This window comes from Homo sapiens, chromosome 2 (genome assembly GCF_000001405.40).
Source record: "Homo sapiens chromosome 2, GRCh38.p14 Primary Assembly".
Classification (NCBI taxonomy): domain Eukaryota; kingdom Metazoa; phylum Chordata; class Mammalia; order Primates; family Hominidae; genus Homo; species Homo sapiens.
In genome coordinates this window covers 226,591,277-226,614,063 of record NC_000002.12, presented here as the reverse complement: position 1 = coordinate 226,614,063, position 22,787 = coordinate 226,591,277, and positions in this window count along the sequence as shown.

The following is a 22,787-nucleotide window of genomic DNA, read 5'->3' as shown; positions in this document are numbered from 1 at the left end:
CTTCTGTTGCCATTTTACCTTTACTTTGGCTTTATCAAAATGGTTGAAAGGCTAAGCCCAGAGATAGAAGAAAAGGTAATAAGATTTGGCCTACAGCCCCCAATCCTGCCATGTTCATTTCGGCACTAACCATGGGATTTTTACTTATGGGGCAAATATATATTTTTCTCCAAACAAAGAGCTCCGATTGAATTCTAATTGATAATCAGAGAAATCAGAGAAGCATAAAGTACTATGGAATAATTGCTCTACTAATCTGAGCACAAAATTTCTATAACTTAATTTAAAAATTGTGTGTGTGTGTGTGTGTGTGTGTGTGTGTGTGGTGCGATGTCTACCAGCTGCCCACCATCCTTTGTCTTAGGGTCTAATTCATTTAGAAAACTCAAGACAGGTGAAATGAAATAGTATATTAGCTATTCCCTAAAACAGCAAGTAAAATCTTTGACTTGTGGCTTTGAAAACTGTATATCATTTCTATTGTACCCAAGTTGGCAGCTCTAAACCCATTGGGTAAGAACTTTCTACTTTTCTTATTGAATACCATCAGCCTTAATGCAGATTATTAGTAAGGCAGATTATTTTGAGTTCTTGTGATATCTCAAATTATGAAATTTGAAACTGTGATATTTCAGATTATGTTCCTATATGTTTGGGCTACTGTTGGATATCCAATGAATGCAGTTTATTTAAAAATCCCAATAAAACTGAACCAAAAAGCTCAAAACATAGTTACTTTACAAATGTTCTCTTAAGGATGACTGATTGATTGATGTGTTGACACGAGAGGGTCAAGACAGCTGCACTGCTGGGTATACCAGTGGGCATGAGGGGCATGTGGACCAGTGAGTTATTTTTTGTTTCAAAATTTTAATGTGAAGGAAAAGGAGGAGGAACAGCAGTATATCTAGAGAATTGTCTAGAAGTAAAAAGCAGACTTGAAAGAAGAAGAGTTTAAAAGTACCAGGACAAAAGTCAAGAATTTATCATCAGTCTTGCTCCTGAATATCCACTGGGAACATACTGCTATTTTATTAGTGAAAACTTTTTTTTGGTCTGGTCATAGATAGGAGCAAGAGAAATCATTTGAAAGTCCAGGCCTTAGCAACTGTGACAAATTTACAAAGAGAAAAAAGGCAAAAAGATATTATAAGGACAGACATTTAGAATATACATCCAATGGATTCAATCGAAACTGAGTGCTTTCATCCTGAAGGCAGTCACAGCAAACACAATTGGAAAGCATCACAAATACCTTCAGCAAATGTCTAAAAATAAATCCAAGATTTTAGACTTTAGATCCATGTAGATCAAGAAGATCCAGTCTGAATGTGGTGGTGCACGCCTGTAATCCTAGCACTTTGGGAGGCCGAGGTGGGTGTATTGCTTGAGGCTAGGAGTTTGAGACCAGCCTGGCCAACATGGCAAAACCCCATCTCTACTAAAAATACAAAAATTAGCTGGACGCGGTGGTGCATGCCTGTAATCCCAGCTACTCGGGAGGCTGAGGCATGAGAATCGCTTTAATCCGGGAGCAGAGGTGGCAGTGAGCCGAGTTCATGCTACTGCACTCCAGTTGGGCAACAGAGTGACAATCTGTCTGTCTCAAAAAAAGGAAAAAAAAAAAAAAAAAGAAGATCCCAGAGACAAGGACAGACTGAGTTTCAGAGGAGGACTGGCCAAACACCCAGCAAGCGTTGGAGACCTGGGCCCAGGAAGACCTGTGTTTCTTTTCCCTTCTAAGGAAAAGAACTTCAGTGAAGAAAAAAAAAAAAGTCATGAATCCAGTTAATCCAAAATTAAAGTATCAAGAGTGACTCAACACTGAGCCAGTAAATAACCAACCTAGAATTTTTCCAATTGCATACATATAACAGGAGTTAAATGACTCACGTCTCAAAAGAGGAAAGCATAAAGCGGGGGTCACTGTGGAAATGATTCCTCTACCTGTCAGACCCTAGGCTTGGTCAACGGAAGGTAGACAGCTCAAGAATATCCACTGTGAAGAAACTGCCAACACAAACAGTCTGACAAAGTCTGGCAATGAGCAATAAGAGGGAATTTGGATAGGTGGGTGGAGTAATTGGGAGTTGGCAATAGGCAAATAGCAGAGGTACAGAGAAGCAGAGGGTCTCAGATGGATAGGATTCAGGACTCCAGAACTGAGAGCTCTGGCTCAAACAAAGCAAGAACACTTTGTCTAAAAAATCCTGGAGTAATTCGGAGTAAGATACTAAGAATAAAAGTCAAATATGAGACAATTGGATAAATATGTGATGGCTAGATCTCAGGCACAAGGCAACATGTTTGTCTGGCCAGGCAGGGATCTTTTGAGCCTTGATTTTGTGCTCTTTTGAACCTAGGGTGAAGTTCAGTCTGCTGTGAGAAGCTGTGAAATCCCACATCTGAAGATCAGATGGACATGCGGGCAGGGAAGACAGTGAAGCTCATCCCTATCTTTATTCCTCAAAATTCTGTCCTTGGTCTTTCTCTCCTAACTCTCCCTGGTTTCAGCTTCCTCATGGCCTCAGTATATACTGAGACGTTTTCCAGCTCTCTTTCTATATGTATATAAAACTACCTATTAAAACCTGTCCTCAGAAGTTCCTGGGATGTGGGCTGTTTGCGGCAGCCACAGCACAGGATGTAATTATGTGACCTCAGGTCATCTAGGAAGCTATCTTCAGGACTATCTTGTAGGAGATTAATGATTCATGTGATCTTATCATTCATCCATTCAAAGCACATTTACTTAATGGAACCAATGAAATCTCTACTTTCATGGAATTCACAGTCTATAACTACAGTTCTTAGTCCTAAATCCCAGAGACATTTCAGATTCAGTGTGTTCTGAAGTCACATCATATCAATGAGAAAACACAATTTGTTGTGTAGTATGGTGTGTCTGACATATTGCAGGTTTCAATGGCTTTTCATTAAACAAAAAACTTGTTGATTTCAGGAAATAGCTTAGTAAATAACAGTTTCCATGATCTAGTCACCTGACTTGATTGAATTAAACTGCTCTATTCTAACACCTTCTAAACAGTCCACAAATTGGTAATGTACAAGTAAAAAAAAACTTTAAGTGCACAATTTTACATTTATTACAGCTCTATGTTCCTTATGTAGAATGTAAATAACTAAAAATAATAAAATTTTACTACCCAGAGATAATCACTTCTAATCACTTATAATTATCTGGCATATAGGTTTCCAGATTCTCATACATATATGCTGACGCTCAGTAACTGTTTCATGTTTTGCTTTTTATATATTATATCATAAATTACCTTTTCATATTAGATATGTTTCTATAGTATAATTTTGCTGGCTACCTACAATCCCATCTTACAGATGTGCTGTAATTTATAATCTCATATTGCTTGAATATAGCTTGTCACTAGTATTTTCACTGTTACAAATAATGCTATGGTAAACATCTTATAATTATATCTTTGTGACTACTTATGACTATTTCCTCCAGGACAAATTCTTAGGAGAACATATAGGTTAAAGGATATGCAAAAATTTCAACATTTTTGCTTTTTATGTTGTCAAATTTAACTCCAGCACAATTTTTCCCCAAAATTACAATCAGGAATCAATTCCTTATGATGTCATGAACCTGACGATACGAGTTCTTCTGATAAATGATGCAACTAGTTATTAAATCTTCTATTTCCCTTCCATTGCATGAACCCTGCCTTTAACAAATAAAGTACACAATTTCATATTCAGATCTAACACCTGAAATTCTAGTGGTTAGGTCCTATTAGTTCATTTGTAATCGCATATTAGATGAAACTATTGCTGAAAATTTATTTAAATGTATCAAGTGGCCTGAGTTCTGATGTTAGGTTAATCTCATGTTGGTTGGACCTTTGGATTGTAGTGGAACATGGAGGACTTTTGAGCTCCAAGGAGCTTTAAGAAGTGCATGTTTTCATAGTAGTTCTGGTACAAGAAGCTTTGTTTTCTTAGGCATCTGGAGAGACAGCAGATGACATGGGTGGCTACTCCCTCTCCTTCTATTGTTTTTCTTGAACGCTGTTGAAGCCAGAATTTTGTGAAACTTCAGAATGTGGGTTATGGGACCTCTTTTCTTGCTTTTAATTTTAAATTCCTTTTGACACATCTTTAAACTGTCTTCCTAACTTCTCAAAGATGACTATGTTCAAAGATCTTTGATTTCTTCCAGTATTCTCTCAGAAATGTCAGAAGTATTCTATCCTGGAAAGAGCACACTGTCTGGTGGGGAAGGGTGGTAGATTAAAGATGTTTATTAATACTTGGCTGCTCCTCCTTCAAGAGGTACATTCCTACTACCTTGTCCCAGTCTTGGATGGCTTTGTGACCTGCTTTGTTCAATAAAAGTGAAGGTGGTGGTGCTATCCAAGTTCTAGGCTTAGCCCTTAAGAAGCCTGGCAACTCCCACTTTTTTTCTCTTGTGCAGCTGCTGTGCTGTAAGAAGCCCAAGCCCAACCACTGAGTGATTAACCAGCATGTGGAGAGAGGCCTTAGACGATGAGATGTCATCACTGATGTTTTGCTCTCAGCATCTGAATGCAGCTGCATGAGTGACCTCAACTACTACAACACTTAGCAGAAGAATGGCCCTGCTGAACCTGGTTGGCCCATAAATACATGAAAACTTTTTAAAAATGCTATTGTTTTAAGCTAGTAAGTTTTGAGATGGTTTGTTACACAGTAATACATAACTAAAACAAAGATAGACAAATAAATGTAGGAGTTCAATTCACTGGCTATAAAATAGATAAGTGAGAGATCATAGGTGGCTGTCTACTCTTATATGGAGGAATCAGAAAAGGCTTCCATGGAGAGATGATATTCTACTTGAACTTTGAGAGATGAAAATGTTTCTGGACAGATGAGGGAGAGTCTCTTCGATGGAATGAATATTCCAGAGGATGACTTGGAGGCCAGGAATAATATGACATTCTCAAGTGAACTGATAACCTAATATTGACAACGGTTTTAATTTGATGGCTTAGAGAGAAACTGTGTAAAATCAGTAGGAATAATAACAGGAATACCATACTTGTCTTTCTTTTGTATCATTTTATCAGGAGAGAAGACCTTGTAATTGACACATTTCACCTATTTACGTTCTACAGTGCCAACATTTTCTCAAGGACTAATGAGACAAAAGGAACTGCGTTTGTTGAAAGGCAGCGTCTGATCCTCATTTACTATTCTAACTAAATGATTAATTCATTCCAGAAACAAAAACAAAGACACAGTCATATTATAAACATGAATTCCTCAAGAAACCCGTCTATGGACCACCTAGGAGGCACTTGGGGACCACCGGTCAGGATTGGTTTGAGCAAGATTATGAAATGGTTGGAGTTTATCTTGGTGTTCCCAGGCTCTCATTTTTGTGTCTTTCAATCTGCTTCATGTCTCAGTAGCACTAGGCTCTCCACTTTTCTGTGAAAATCTGCTTCTCAGAAAAGATCAGATGCACGTGTTCTTACTTAGAAGTATGATCCCCAGAAGTGGGCTATTGTTTCCAAGAAGGATATCCATTTTACTTCTGAGAAGACAAGGTTTTAAGCTACAGGAATGATTCTGCGATGGCGTTTTTTTTTTTTGTTTGTTTGTTTGTTTGTTTGTTTGTTTTTAAGTAATTTAGTGTGAAAGAATTTGCAGACAGGGAAGGGGAGAAAACATGTTGCCTTCTCACTTCCCCTCTAATCACGTCCTGAATTAAGAGACTGCTTATCTTTTAGAGTGAATCCATTGGACGAGTCATTAAAGGAAGTTTGCCATGTTTAAGCCACACAGCCAAGTGTTGTGGGGGATACAATAGTTATAATAAAACTAATCCCCACCCTCAAACATCTCGCTGTCTAGTAGAAGAGAGAAGAAACAACAACTGATAACAATAAACTAAGGCAGAATAAATCATAGATAAAACATATACAAAATACTATATGAGAGCCCCTCAAAAGAAAATGATTATTTCTAGATGATGAAAGTTGTGAAAGTGGACTAGTGGTCAGAGGTGGGTGGGAATAGGGAAGGGCAGGAGGAAATGTGTGGCCAGTACTTTCAACCCTACCTATGATGCATTGGAAAATGGAGGCCCATAAAGGTAAGTAACTTCCCAAGGTAAACTAGTTAGTGACTGGCATGGCAGGAACTTAAGGAGAGTGAAGGAGTATGGAGGGATTTAGTGGAAAGTGGTGTATGGATCAGATTTTAATTCTGTGCTAAGGAATTTAATTTAATATTCTGGGAATAAGGGGAGCTTTTGAAGGTCTTTTTTTTGTTTGTTTGTGGGGTGGAGTGTGTTGCTGGGTGAAATATGACATGATAGATACATAAGATAATTTACTTGATATTGCGAAGGATGAATTAGAAAGAAAAGAGTTTGCACGCAGGGAGACATATTACAATGACTCATCCACCCATTTATCTACCTTTCAACAAAAATTTAGTCAGAATCTACTGTTTCCCAGGCATTACAAAATGTTGTGGCAACAATCTGGTGAAAGAGTGTGAGATAAGAAAGTGAGTGAGCTAGAAAGTTCGCAGTAGTGATTTAATGTAGGGCTGGGACCGTCCTTTTTATGTTTGCCCTTTGGTGTTTTTCTCAAATGTAGGCATGGTCCTTTCACCACTGTCCAAGTTACCTCTCTGTAAGCCACTGGCTACCTGGCTTTGTATCATCTTATCGGGGAAAAGTGACCTCATGGCCACTGGCTTGCTGTAAGAAGAAGGGGTGTGGGTGATGGGGAGACTCTGGCCACCAGTATTGGATGGAAGTGGAGCATCTTCCCTGAAGCCCAGAGAGAGCAGAGCCTTCGACATGCCCTCTCCATCTCACTCACTTTTCCCTCCCTGATAATACCTTGTGATTTTCTCTGAATGTCTTGTTCCCAGGACTTGCTGTCTCTGCAGATTGATAGGGACCTACCATTTGGACTGAGGATCAAAGAAATAGTACAGAATGAATGTCTAAATACAAAAATTAACCTCAAAACATCTAAATCACACAGGCAAATGATGCCAGCCTTTCTTAGCTTTGGGGAATGCTCTCTCTTCATTAGCGCTACCTGAAAATGCAGTCAAAGATGGCGTTGATCAAAAGGGCTATCTCAGCTGCAGGGGCTACAGGTCACTAAGGAGAGTGATGGAGGTGAGTAGTGTGTTCCGGGGTGTGAACTGAAGGGGAAAATGGCAGGGTGAAGCAGCCATCCAAAGATCTTCAGGGCTATTGCCATATTACCAGTTTGCATCTATTTCTTTCAAATTTGTTGATATTCTTGGTTCTCTTTTACCGTATGACTTCACTTTTCTACCCTTTCTTTAAAATGAGTACCATATCCAAAGTTGTCTCCTTTTTGCATAATTATTGATTTTTGTTTAATCAGATTAATGTCTTTTTTAAAAAATAGACTATTTTTTAGAGCAGTTTTTTTTTTTACATTTACAATAAAACTCTGTGGGAAGTAGAGAGATTTCTCATACATCCCTTGCCACTACACACTCACAGCCTCACCTGCTATTAACACCCTGAATCACGTTGGTACATTTGTTACAATGGATGAACCTACATTAACACCTCATTGTCACCCAAAGTCCGTAGTTTACATTAGTGTTGGTGTTTTACATTCTAAGGTTTTAAACAAATATTAAATGACATGTATCCACCGTTGTAGTGTCATGCGGCATATTTCACTGCCCTAAATTTCCTCTGTGCTCTGCCTATTTGTTCTTCTCTATCTCCAGTTTCTGGCAGCCAGCGATCTTTTTACTATCTCCACAGTTTTGCCTTATCCAGAATGTCATAGAACTGGAATCATACAATATGTAGCCTTTTTAGATTTGCTTTCATTACTGCTTCTTTTAAAGTACAAAGTGATCTTCTGTGTTCTTTTGTCTCTAGTGGAACTATCTTTACTTTGACAGTGTAAACTTAGGAGAGGATTTTTTTCTGGGCTCAGCTTAACGAAATATAGGAAGCGATGTCCTTCATATAAGCATTTTGTTCCATGGTGCCATTGAAATGGGTGCAATTATATTATCATGCTCTAAAATTAGACTTACCTTGTCAGTTAGGAAACAACATCCTGAGTGGAAGAATCTCTATGTGCTTGGGATCAGAAACTCATCGGAACTGTCTCTCCCATGGCGAGAAGACATGGGTCTTGGGTATGTATTTAGTGGTTTATCTCACTAATAACTGAATCATCATTTTTTTGCTTTCCACTTGATTTTGGATAAATGCTTCCTCTATGGCCCACAACAGGTGTTCCATTGAAACTGGAAGATGAGAGACTGCCATCTGTCCAGTCTGGGCTACTCACACCATTGAACCAGCAAATCTAGAAGGGGTTACTCTAGTAGCCAGTGTGATTGATGCTGAGAAAGTTGGATTGTTACCCACAGTGGGGACAAATAATATGTCTGGAACCTAGGAGGTTCTCTGGGGGTTCCTCTTAGTACTTTCGTAGCCAGTATGAAAAGTTAATGAAGAACTAGAGTAACTATAAAAGGCTGGATCACAGAGTATTTAGACCCTTCGAGAAGGTTCAGATACCCACCATGGAAATACTCCCAGCTGGCCGAGGCCCCAGTTAGGGGCAAAGGAAACTTGGAAAGAATAATGAAAGAAGGAAGTTACAAATTCCATTACGGCCTCATGTCCACTTAGGGTCACAGGAAATACGCATGTTGTTTCTTTGCTTGTTTTGTTTGTATTATCTGTTATCTTCTTCTCTCTTCTTTCTTTCACTGTTTTATACAAGTTTTGTTGGAGGATAACTTTACAAATTAGTATTTGGTTAAAAGTCAATTCAGAAAGGACCTTGGCTGAATTCGAGGAGTAATTGACATAGTGCCCAGATGGATACAAAGACTCTCTGGACTTGTGTCTTCTCATTTAAGGAAGAGTATGAGAATGTCTTCATTTTTAGTAAGAATAGTTGCATCTTGTTAGGCTGAAACACAAAGTTGCTTTTATCACTGTACAGAAGTTAAAATAATAGAAGGATATGCATGGATGCTGAGTACCCAAAGGTGTGGATGGTGCCCGCTTCTTGATATTATCTCTTAGCTCCAGACCTACCCCTTTACACTCAACTGAATGTTGCTGGGCTAGGACTGTGCAAACCATATTTCTGTTCAGCTAGATGGCTCCTGGTTATGCTCTGCTGATAAGGGGACACTAGATGGGGGCTTGAGGCTAGAGGAGATAAAGAGAGACTGCTCCTTCCTGGATGCTTCTAGTTCCTGTGAAAATGACCCTGGTTATGCTTCTTCAGTTCCTAAGTGAGAGTGCCTTCCTGGAGCAGCATGAGAGTCCTGCCTGCAGCATTTGCAACAATTGCAGAGCTCTCCTCATCTACCCCTCAGGGATAAAAGCACCTGATGAGCCATGCCTTTTTCTCAGGGGTCTCTGTTTCTTCTGCAGGGCTCCTCTCCAAGATTCTAGAAATTTAAATTCTAATCTTTATTTCTCCCAGCCCTTGGGATGGTAGCTGTTTCCTGCAGCTGCTACCTCTCTGATACTTCAGTGTTCTCTCTCTGGCTTTTCAGTTATCTAGGTAGATGAGGTGTATCAAGGAGATGATATGGAAATATAAGTAGAGATTTTCTGTCTGAAAAATGAACTAAAACTCATCTATGGACCTGTTGGTCCTGTCAATCTCCATTTGCTGCAAAGGTACTAGCTGCCTGAGATTACCAATAAGCCTCTCTCACTGAGACGGATGAAGCCAATGTTTTCATTGTTTACCTACCTAAAACATTTTATACTATACTCTTTCTGCTGTCTGTTGACTGGACTCTGACTCTGAAATAGTGATTAATAAAATGGAGCTTGGTACAGAGAGATCAGTTTCAAACAGGACATTGTCAATCTCAAATTCGAATCCCACCACCCAGGATGTACTAACTCTTGCACGCACAGATGAGCGATGAGGTGTTTTTGTGAGAATCCTCTCAAGTAAACGGTGGGGGATGATACCTGCTCTGGCCTATTTGTAGGGTTGTGGGAGAAACAGAATACAATAGTGCAGTAAGCAAGGTTTGGTCAGTCTTAAAGAGCTGCACAGACTTCAGGGACTGGGATCACAAAAGCTAAAGACATTCTTTAATGAAGACATTGGCCTCATCTGTCTTGCTGAGAGATGCTTATTGGTAACCTCAGGTAGCTGGCGCCCTTGCAACTAATGGAAATTGAGAGGACCAACAGGTCCATAGATGAGTCTCAGTTCTTTTTTTAGATAGAAAATCTCTACTCATATTTCCAAATGAACCTTACCTCCTCCCAATTGCTACTTCCAAATGTTACCCATGTTCTATTTTAGTCTTGCCAGGTTATGATAAATATGTCAACATGATTATTGTTGCTATTTTACTTTTATATTTTTGATTAAATCTGGTCTTCTTATGTCCTAAAGCATGCTGAATTGGCTTACTCTAGGGGCCTGGATTCTAATTCCATTTCTGCTTCTTGCTACCTGTAAACCAGTTATTTTACCCTTTCTGGGCTCTCTTCCCTTATCTGCAGATTGGAAAAAATCAGTCTTGTCCTGTCTGTCTCACAGGGCTTTTATACCCATACAGAAGTGTTTTGCAGATTCAAAGGTGCTCTCAGGGATGTTACTACTGTTGTTGGTAGTGTTTATGGTCATGGGAATTTAAGATAGTTTAAAAAAGATCCCGTAAGCAAGTGTCTGGAAATAGCGCCTTATGGATTAGCATTAAAATTTGCTATTTCAAATCCTTTCCACTGCCGTACATTAAATATATACTGGTAAAATATGTGGTATTGAATTTCAAAAAAGCATTAATTTCTGGAACAAGATCAGACTCTTCAGCATATTTCCAGGCAGTTTTGATCCCATGAATTTGTCCTAATACTGCAACCACTTGCTTGTGTCTGAAAGAGTGATTACATGTAAGAAACATTCATGCCTCAAGGAAGAAAAGACTGACAAATGAACGCTCAAAGATTCCAGAACCAGGAACAACTGATTCCAAGGTTTTAAATATCAGAGACTTATATACTAGAGGGGACATGCATGCCAGAGCTGCGGAACAGTAGTGTGGAAAATACCACAGCCCAAATTATTTCTTTAATGGTCTCCAAAATAAATGGTTGCCAACCAAACCATACTTGCCATACCTTTTTCCTTTGGCTGCTGTTTTGAGCTGCTTCTAGACACAAAAGGGAAATGGAGAATGAAGTCAATTATCTGCAGAACTCATGCTAACAAGCAGTAAAGTCTCATTACATACTTATTAATTCATAAAAAATCAGTTATGTCTGACTTATTTGTGTTGCCTGTCTATATTGATTAGATTCATTGTACAATTGCTAAAGAGTTGAAAGATGAAAGGATATGGTTCACTTAAGAAACAATGCAGACATTGTTTGTGTGTATGTGTGCTTTGTGTGTGTGTGTGTGTGTGTGTGTGTGTGTTGTCTTTATTTCCACTGTAGAACTATTTAGATTAATAAGACAGTCGAAACATCTCCTGCCAAAATAACACAAATGACATGGTTAACAGATAGTGAGCCTCAAAGTCACATGCCGAGCTGTCTCTTCATTGAAAAGGCATATATGTTCATGCATAGAAGCAAAAGCAAATTACCACTCCCTCCTGGTGAATTATTGGATGACTCTCCAGTTGTGAGCCTGTGAAAATCATAAGGAACTAATTTTAGCTTTTTATTAGATCTTTCCCAGATAGATTACAAATAGTTTATAGATCTCCCTAAATCTTTGCCAAATTATTTTCCACCTTAAAAAGAATATTGTCATTTAAGGCTACTGTCTCAGATAGTGTTTTCTGTCACTCAGAACTGCAGAGTTAGACTTCTCAAAATCATTAAAGTGCCTGTGATTCACCACAAGACTCTTGTTTGTGTCTGCTGATGTAAGACTGTTAAAAAACATATGGCTTTTTAGATATTTTACTTCTTAGCCATACGTGGTTTTCTAGTGAGATAGTTCTTTTTCCATCAGCCTTGATGTGGTCTGGAAATGTGATTTGTAGCATAGCATATAACTTATAACTGAGGACATCTTTTGTACATACTATTGTGTCTCAGAGGGTTAAATGAACTCTCCGATGAAGGCATGGTCTGTAGGCATGGAGGCTGGGGTGGGGAGGAGATCCATTCTGACTTCCAGCCTCCCACTGGGTCATTGTTAGAATCAGGTTGGCCTGAGGTAGGGCCCTAGCAAGGTGGTAACTCAATGCTATGGCTCATTTGATCCCTATTTTGGGTTGTAATCCATTTTAAGGGGGAAAGGCCAATCTTTTATACTAATTAGGCAGCGACAGTTCCTAACTGAGATGTTTCTTGTGAAACAGCTAATGGAGTTGTATATCAGTGAACAGTAACAGGTTTAGTAGATCCCAGTGCTGCTGAGGATACTCTCTGTGTACATCATGCTGGAAAAAATTTCAGATGTAATTTCCAGCAAGCACCTTCACCCCATTTTATCAAATAGCAATGCAAGTCCCAGAGAGATTAACTGACATTGAGCTCATGGCAGAATCAGGTATTTTGACTCCAAGTTCAGGGTTCCGTTCACTATAACCACCACTTACAGACTTCTCCAGCAATAATGAGGTGAGCAAAACAAGGTGGCTTTCTCTGCTCTTTGAGATTTCTGAAATCAGTGTTCTTCATTCTCTGTAGATGTAAATGCATCCTGCTAAACTTAAAGTGACAGCAAATACTTTTCTGGAAGAGCTTTTTATGGAAGAAGGAGGTTATATATCCTCTGTTACTTCATAAGTAAGTTCTATCACTTCATAACTAATTTTCTTACAACTTAACAGCTTAAAATAAAACACATTTATTATCTCATAGTTTCTGTGGGTTGAAATCTGGGAATATCCTATCTGGGTTCTCTGTCTCCCGGCATCTCACAATCAAGGCATTGGCCAGGACTGTGTTCTCATCTAACGGCTCGACTGGGAAACTCTGCTTTTAAGCTCACTCACATGGTTACTGGCAGAATTCAGGACGCTGTGGGCTGCTGGCCTGAGAGCCTTCATTCCTCACTGGCTGTTGATTGGAGGCCCCCTCAGCTCCTTGTCACATGGGGCTGTTTAACATGACATCTTGCTTTATCAAAGCCAGCGAACAGATGGCAAGGGAGAGAGAATGCTAGCAAGGCACAAAGAACACTCCTTTCTTATCTAATCTCAGAAGTGACATCTCATCACTTTTGCCATATTTCATATTCACATTCATTAGAAGCAAGTCCCTAGGTTCAGCCCATATTCAAGGAGAGGCAACCACATGAGGCTGTGAATACCAGGAAGCAGGGACTCTGGGGAGCCATGTGAGAAGGTCTGCCACAGAAACATTGTCCTAGTTGTCACATATTTAACATATATGAAACTTCATTTATTTTGGTTTGCTAGAGTTCATCACAATGCATCATTTACTTTAGGTATTGTCATCACATGTTTAGCTGTAGTTCACGCAATCGCCACTAAAACGGCAAGGGAGAGATGAGGATAAAGTGTGGAAAACCCTCTTCCACCTCCTCCATCCTCTTCCATTCCTATCCCCCCACCCTGAGGCACACAGAGGGAAACTATGCTCACAGGAAGTGCTGCAGGATCCTCAGCATTCTTTTACATCAAAAGCCTGGAGAGAAAACAATGAAGTGGTCACATTAGGACTTTGGTATTGGAAGAAGTTGGGTTTGAATGCTGTTTCCACCCCACGGCAGCCGTGGGATCTTGAACAACATTACTCAAACTATTTCATCATATGTGAAATGGGGTATTAATTCTTGCATAACAGGTCATTGGGAGCATTAAGCAAGATAGTGTATGTAAAGGAGAATAGCCAATCCCTGCCATGGAGGAAGGGTCACAGCAGATGGGCATTTCTGTCTTTCTTCCTTTCAAATAATGGAATATTCCATAGAAAGGGTCAGGACAAAATTTTGTCTTCATGGTAGGCCTCTTTGAGTTTGAGATTTGTGATACAACTTAGTATTTGGGGGTCATTTACTCTACTTGCTCTTTATATTTCTATAAATTAGGGTTAAAAGTAGTACCTATCTCATTAGACTTTTTTTTGAAGTTTAAGAAAGATAATGCATGTTAACTGCTTAGCACAATGGTTGCCCCATAGTACACAGTCAATAAATGCTTGCTGTTATAGTTGTGAAGTTTATAGTTCTCTTGGTATAGTACCTTGAAAAATTTATGTCAACTCTCTGTGCCTTTATTTCCTCATCTAGATAATGGAGAAAATTACAGTAGCTAATTCTCAGGGTGGTCATTAAGGTGAATGAGTTAAATATATAAAGTACTTAAAATAGTCTTAGCACGTGCATGGTAAGTGCACAAAGAATGTAAGCAAATATTAACATTATTTGTATTAGTGCTTGATCAGTGTTTGTTTCTGTTTTAGATGACTCTTACTTAGTATAAAAATTTAATAGAAGTTTATATTGTGTTATTCATATAACATATATTATGCTATTATTTTATATATCTATGTCTCATGTGATTATATTATTGAGAGGTTCAAGATAAGGATGTTTCAGAGACTCCTAGAGTTCTAGTGCAGAATTTGCTAACATTTAGTTATCAGGTAAAAATGCTCTCCTATGGATTGTAGAACACATATAACATAAACATCTAAAGTGGATGTTTACTTGGGTTTTAAATCACGTGCATTTATGTTGCTTTCTTCTGCAGATGATCACAGTGATTACCCTATGATGCAGGATGAGGTGAGGGATGCCACCGTCTAGCTGAGCTTCCACATATTAGAGGAGAGGGGGTTTGACTGAAGTGCTTCTCTTCTCAAAGCTTTTTCTTTCTTTTTCTTTTTTTTTTTTTAAGCATTGGCTGACATTTTGAATTGTGTCTCAGTGAAAACTGAGGACAATACCTATTAGGAGTGATGCAAATAAATATATTTTCTTATTTTTATATTTAAAAAACCCTGAAAAGTAAAATTAGCAAAGAAAGAAACTCCTAAGACCGCCTACCTACATTCTCCTATCTCTGCTACAAGGACCAAGAGCTTGATTTAGCCTCTACACACACATGCACATGCACACACACGAAGAACCAAGTGTGAGAATCAAATATTAAACAGAACAACTTTTTTTTTTGTCACTGTCCACTCATACATCACATGTGTGAAGAGCCTGAGGTCCCCAAAGACTGTGTGTGAGATGGACATTACAGTATCACATTCAAATGGCCTTTTTCATAGGCGAATCTTTTTGGTTCCAGATACTCATTCTCTCTGCTTGGTTCACATTCCAGTCACCATCATGAATGGATACACGTGTTCTTTGTTGTCAGTTTGACTTGCCTTCTCCTTGAATAGTTCCTGCAGAAATTTAGCCCCACTTTAAACATATCAAATGCACCCATTATCTTCACAGTCGAGGGCTGTTTTTCTTTCCTGGGAAGAAGTTCTCTTGTAACAAGGGACTCTCGGCATCAATGATGAATGTTAGCGGTTTCAGACATTGAACAAAGGGTATGCAAAGCAATATTTGGTGAGAGAGAGAGGTTGAGAACAAGAGAGTGTTCCAGAGAGAGAAAGAAAGAGACAGAGGAGAGAGAAAAATCCCTTTATAAAGTCATTGAAATACAACTTCAGATACTCTTGTGTTTCTGGGAAGCCTCTATATATAAAAAGTAGCATCCTTCCATTAAGTTCTAAATTAAGTTAATAAAAACAATTTGAAGCAGAGGGGCCAAGTCTGCTTTCTGGAGGCCACAGTGAGTTGGGCAGTGGTGATCGTTTCCATGAGAAAATTAGTTGATTGTGGGAACCTAATGATTTCTCTGGATTTATTTCTGCCTCAGTCATATGGTAAATGAAAGCATCATGTTACTCTTCCTCTGTTGCTTTCTCTCGCTTTAATTTTTCTTAAAATAAATTTCCTTTACCATCTCGAAGTAAAACAAAAATCTCCCAGTCTCCCTGCTGCTGGGGTCCAAAAAGCCAGTGATGAGATTTGTCACGGGCTGCTCAGTGCTCTTGAATTAGAGCAAAGATGGACCCGCTCAGGTGACTGTAATATAGATAAGAGGAGGTTGCCTAGCTCAGAAAAGAATCTGTTTTTCTTTGACTGCACCTCAGCAAAGGTCAAATAGGATTAAATTTTTTAAGTTGACCAGAACAAAGATAGATGAGTTGATTTTCAGTGCAAATTTGGTTATGTCAAACCAAGTAGCACCAGAAATATGATCGATTAACCTCTGGAGAGTCGATGGCATATTTCATTTCACTCCCTCTGGAGTCACCATGAACACTGTGCTGTCTTTCAGGATGATGGATTTACAGGGATTTCCAAATGTCTGTTAATGCCCTTCACCCACTTTGCTGAGATCAGTCATCTGAACAAATGGTTTGAAGATTTTGTGTGAAGATGCTATAAAAAGAGTCATTGGTTTCCCTTGTTCATAGTAGTTATTATGTATATGGGTAGAGAGGAGGCTACAATTTGAGAATTAATGTCATTGAAAATGAGGGCAATATTTGAGAGCCTTGAATTCTCTGAAGAGTTCAAATAAAGATGTCTATTTTGAAGAGTATCTTTATTTTCTTGTTGAATAAAGATCTTAAACTTTTTGTTTTTTCAAAGTACATATTTCTGTGGCTTTTCATATTTCCACATGCTATGCAAGTTATTAAAACCCCAAATTTTCTGTATCTGATTGCAACGGGGCTGCTAAAAAGGAATGGATAACAATAAAAGCAAAATGGAGAGTGCTTAGAGAGCATAACAGAGTCATCATGGAAAACAGTGGTAATTTTTAACCTTGCTTTTCCAAGCTAGAGTTTTTGAGAGGACAGCGAGTGCATAGGCTGCTATCATCTTCTCTAAAACAGAAATGTGAGTAGACATTTGGCTGAAAACCACATTTTTCATTGTTAATGGAAATAACATTTAAAATGTATAAGACGTATATGTATATATTTAATAATCATCTATTGAGAGATTTCTATATATTAGAGACTGTAATAGTTGAAGTGATAATTTTGGACAGTCAACCCTGATCACAATATATGGATGTGTGTGTGCAAAGGATCACACAAACTGTAGTACAATGTGATAACATATAAATGCTAGACAATTATTATAAACCATGCACTACAGGGAAAATGAAAAGAGATGAATTAATTATATTATGGAGGAAGAAGAGGAAGAAGGGAGGAAAATGAAGAAGGCCTTACAAAGGAGGTGAGCACATGAACTTTGAATCATGAGTAAGATTTAAGATTTTTTTTTTTTTTTTGAGATGGAGTCTCACTCTGTTACCCAGGCTGGAGTGCAGTGGCATGATCTCGGCTCACTGCAACCTCGCCTCCTGGGTTCAAGCAATTCTCCTGCCTCAGCCTCCTGAGTAGCTGGGATTACAGGCATGCGCCACCACACCTGGCTAATTTTTAATTATTTTTTTAGTAGATATGGGGTTTCACTATATTGGCCAGGCTGCTCTTGAACTCCTGACCTCAAGTTATCGGCCTGTCTTGGCCTCCCAAAGTGTTGAGATTACAGGCATGAGCCACTGCACCTGGCCAAGATTTAAGATTCTTAAGGAAAATGACAATAAATGAAGGAGATGGTTAAGAGAAGGAGGGGAGGATATGGATGATAATAAGCCCATTCACTCAACAAATACATATTTAATGCATAACATATGCCAGGCACTGTTTTAGAATGTTCTAGCAGTGTTTTGGCATCAGTATGTGTACATCTCTCAAGAAACCTAGGGGAAGATAATGAATGAGATAAATAATGGTAAATTCTAAGAAGGAAAAATAAAGTAGAGGAGAAGAGTATGAAGTCTTGAGAGAAAGTGAGGTGAGACTCTTGTATGGGTAGACAAGAAAATTCTCACCGAGAACCAACATTTTGAATGAAAAGCTGAAGGGAGTGAGGAATGAGCCATGTGACCCCTGGGAAGAGAACATTCTAGACAGAAAGATCAGCAAATACAAAGGCCTCAAGGTAGAAACATACCTGTGTGAGCCAAGGGGTTGCTTGAAGGGTGAGAGTGAGGGGAGGAGATTTGCGGGGAGAAGATTTGGAGTTGAAGTGAGACTTTGGCCTTTACTCTGAGGGAGATGGGAAAACATCAGGGTTTGAACACAGATATGACATGATCCAACAGTGTTTGCAAAGGGTCTTGACAGCTGTGTTGAGAACTTATATTTTTACATCGCTTTGTAGTTTGTAAAGTGCTTTCACACATAATGCTACACAACTCCTCCTTCTCTTGATGAAGGAACTTTTAAGCTCAGAGAAATTAAAACAACTGTTCTGACATCTTGTCACTAATGAGTAGTTGCACCAGAATAAACCACTTGCAGGATCCAAGTTGGAGCTGTTCCCATCATCCCACTGCCCCCAAGACTATATGGAACACATAGGGATAATCAAGAATAAAGGGGACACTTCAAAATTCCTATTTTTTTTCTCTCCTTTCCTCCTGTCTTTCAGCCTAAACCACTGTATCTTCAACCAAAAATGGCATGTCTTCAAGATTGAAAGTGTGAGAATTGTAGATGATGGTGGTCATCAACACATCAACACATTAGCATTTGTCAACACACAACTTACCAACACACAAGCATTTAGATGAAGATTGTGGGTTTGTGTTTGTGGTCCTTCTTCAGGCTGGAAATAGGTTAGGGACTGGAGCTGGTCATGACTTTCAGTCTCATAGAAAGTTCTTCTTTCTTTGAAGGGAGTGGTCAGCAAAATCAAGGGTTGACCACACTCAGGTTTCTAGTGGTACAAATCTAATCACTAAGGTAAGGATAAACTGGGGCGGAGAGGAGTGGGTTGTAGGGCTGTTTGTGTGTGTGTGTGTGTGTGTGTGTGTGTGTGTGTCTAAACTTTCTTCCCATCAGCTTCCTTGCAGGCTGTGATTGCATTCAAAGGGTAAAGTGCTTGTAGGCAATGGATCATGTTTCCCAATTCTCTCTATTCCTAGATTCTAGATAAAAAATTTATTTTAAACCCAAAGGATTATAAATCATGGTGCTATAAAGACACATGCACACGTATGTTTATTGCAGCACTATTCGCAATAGCAAAGACTTGGAACCAACCCAAATGTCCATCAGTGATAGACTGGATTTAGAAAATGTGGCACATATACACCATGGAATACTATGCAGCCATAAAAAAGGATGAGTTCATGTCTTTGTAGGGTCATGGATGAAGCTGGGAACCATAATTCTCAGCAAACTATCGCAAGGACAAAAAACCAAACACCGCTTGTTCTCACTCATAGTTGGGAATTGAACAATGAGAACACATGGACACAGGAAGGGGAACATCACACTCCGGGGATTGTTGTGGGGTGGGGGGAGGGGGGAAGGATAGCATTAGGAGATATACCTAATGCTAAATGACGAGTTAATGAGTGCAGCACACCAACATGGCACATGTACACATATGTAACAAACCTGCACATTGCGCACATGTACCCTATAACTTAAAGTATAATAAAAACTTTTTTTCAATGTTTTATGAATTTTTACTTTTTTTTGAAGCCTTTGTGTTGAAATTTCTGTCTAGAGATAGCTAGAATGGCCTCATTTTAAACTTTTTAGCTGAAATGTTGGAAGTACAATGAATGCACCTAAATCTTGATGAATATTTACATAAATAAAGCTGTGTAAGGCACTACTCAGACCAGGGTATGCAACTTTTCCAGTACTATAGAAGTTTCTCATTTTCCCTTTCCCAAGGACCAGCCCTATTTTAAAACAGAAACTTAGCTGTGATTTTGACCATATCTTTGACCTTCCATTTTGGCTTATCTTTTGCAAAAATTCACTCCCAGTTCAAAACAGAATATGCTGTGATTATTCAGTAATTATTAATGTCTCTTATAAATATCTCTTTTTGATTAAAACATTCAAGAAAACACTAAATTACATTTTATTTGTCATCTATATGTTTAAATGACCAAAGAAAGAGGAGCTGGGGTAAAATACCATGAAAGTTTTATTAAACACAAAATATAATAAGTACTTGGAAACAAACTGCCAAACCCCAATTGCCTACTGTCCTTCCATTTATCATAGGTTCTAAGCCCACAAAATTGAGGTACTTAATGCAGCCTTCTGTTGGGGAAAAAATAATCCTCTTCATCACTTTTTTTGTTGACTTGGTATGCAGTATGTAGCCACAAGTAATGTGGGGAAAGCTACTTTCAGCAATTTTCATTTCATTCAAACCAAAGAGAAAATGACTGTGATTCCCAGTTGGGAAGAATAATCAATACCCAGTACCAACACATTGGTGGTAAGTGTAGATATAGGTCACCAACCCACGAGCATATTTACTGTCTCCTTTTACTGAAAGTTTAATATTTATGATAATTTTGTAATGCTATTTACTTCACACATTACTCAGTTTCTCAGTAAATTCATTGTTGAAATATGGAACATGTGTCTAACATAAAATGTGAGTCACACAGGTTGTTTTAGTGAGACCTCTGGCAGTTGCTTTCCAATTAAGAAGCATGTCATGTTTGCTTCTGTCTTGCATCTCCATTCTCAGGGAAAGCACAGCAGACATGAGTGGAAAAGCAGGTTTTATTCTTAATCCCCAGGATGGACTCTTGGTGGACCTACTTGAGTCCCATGCCTAATTCTCAACCATTCACATGACCAAGGGAATGAGATAGAGCAACAGGTTACATTGGGAAATGTGCCCATCCCTAGATACAGAGGGTTACAGGAGGGCACTTATTCTACAGAACCAATTTGGACAGTGATGCAGAGTATGGAGGTTCCCACGGGAAAGTCTGCTGCTTCCAGAAACAGGGGAAGTGGAGGCTCAGCATCAGAGTGGGGAGTGGAGAGTGGTGTGGATGGGGCGGGAGAGTCCCAAGGTCAAGGTTCGGAACAGGAAGGGTCAATTATAAGGCTGGTATTTTAAGACTCATCTGGTTCTTTGAGTGAATTGTGGGAGGTCAGAGAAGAGATTCTGTGTCCCCAAACCTCCAAAAATATGAGCAGACCTGGAAAGCTGTATGGATTTCCTGTGATGTCAATAAGCTGCCTATTCCAGTGCCTTTTGCAAAGAAGGTTCTTCAAAAATGTATTTCAGTTTTCCATTCCCTTTCCCTTATATCTGCTCATTAGCACTCCTGCAAAAGTCCAACCTTTGAATTTGATTAGAGATATTGTCAAAAGGGAATAGATGGCTATTCTTGGCCAATATTTATTAATTTATTTTTTTCACACTCTTCCAAACCATAATGGAAAGTTATCTTATTGAGAATTGACTGAGCTCTTCTAACTTATTTATAAAAAAATATGTTAAAGTTAATTTCTGAAAGAGGGCAATAGTAAGAATGATTGTTTTGTGCAACTTTTAAAATACGTGGTTTCTGGGAAAGCTAAGATGACCAATTGTAAGCAGCTGTGGTCTGCAATGCTCATGGAAATGAATGAAAGGAGCAAGTGAATTTAGCATCTTCAACTTAGATATTTCGGTTCTTATATTGGGACTGACTAGGCAAACAGCTTGACCCATGGAGGGTGAAGAGAAGCAGGGTGGGGCGACACCCACGAAAGAGCAGCATGGAGCCAAGGGAACCCCCACCCCCAACCAAGGGAATCGGCGAGTGATAGTGCGACTCTGCCTGGGAAGCCATGCTTCTTTCATAGATATTTGGAATCCATGAATTGGGAGATCCTTTCATGAGCCCACAACACTGGGTCTTGGGTCTGATATATGGAGCTGTGTGTAGTCTCAGCAGAGTGGCTGCTCAGGAATGCACAGAGACCCAGGAGGTTTGCATACTCTGGCCCTGGGATCCATGGCAATGAGGTAGATCCATCCATGTATGTCCCTAGGAAGGGGGCTGAGTCCAGGGAGCCAAGTGGCATCATTCTACAGCCCCAATTTCCAAGCCTCATGGGTTGAGACCCACTGGCTTGAAATTCCAGCTGGCCAGCAGCAGCAGGCTGGAGTTTGCCTGAGTCAGAACTGAATTCCCGGAGGAAGGGGGGGCCACCATCCTTGTGGTTCAGTAGACTCAGTCGTTTCAGTCAGCTAGCTTTGAAGACTACAGGTGGACAAGTAAGGGTCCTCCATAACACAACACAGCTGCCTTGCCAGATCGTGGCCAGACTGCTTCTTTAAGCAGGACCACAATCCATTCCTCCTCACTGGGCAAGACCTCCCTGTCGGGGCTTATTCTAAAGACAAAGCTCTCATCTCTCCCTGGGATGAAGCTCCTGGGGGGAGAGGCAGCCACCATTTCTGTGGTTTGATAAAATCTAACATCCCTTCATGTCAAAAACTCTCAATAAACTAGGTATTAAAGACACATACCTCAAAATAATAAAGAGCCTTATCTGTTGTTTGGTAAACTCAGCCATTCCAGCCTGCCAGATTTGGAGAATACAAAGGGTCCAGATGAGGAAGGGTTTCACTCAATGCAGTGTACCTGTTCTACCAAAGGACAGCCAGCCTGCTTCCTTGGGCCGATCCCTGATCCTGTTCCTCCTAACTGGGTGATATCTCCCAGCAGAGGTCTCCAGCCACCTCCTAGAGACACATTTGGGCTGGCAACAGGTCAGTGACCCTCCCTGGGACTGAGCTTCCAGAATAAGGAATAGGCTGCCATCTTTGCTGCTTCACAGCCTTCACTGGTGTTACTTCCAGGTATAGGGAAAACCAAGGCAACTAGGGTCTGGTGTGGACCCCCAACAAACTGCAGCAGTCCTACAGTAGAGGGGTCTGACTATTAAAAGAAAAACA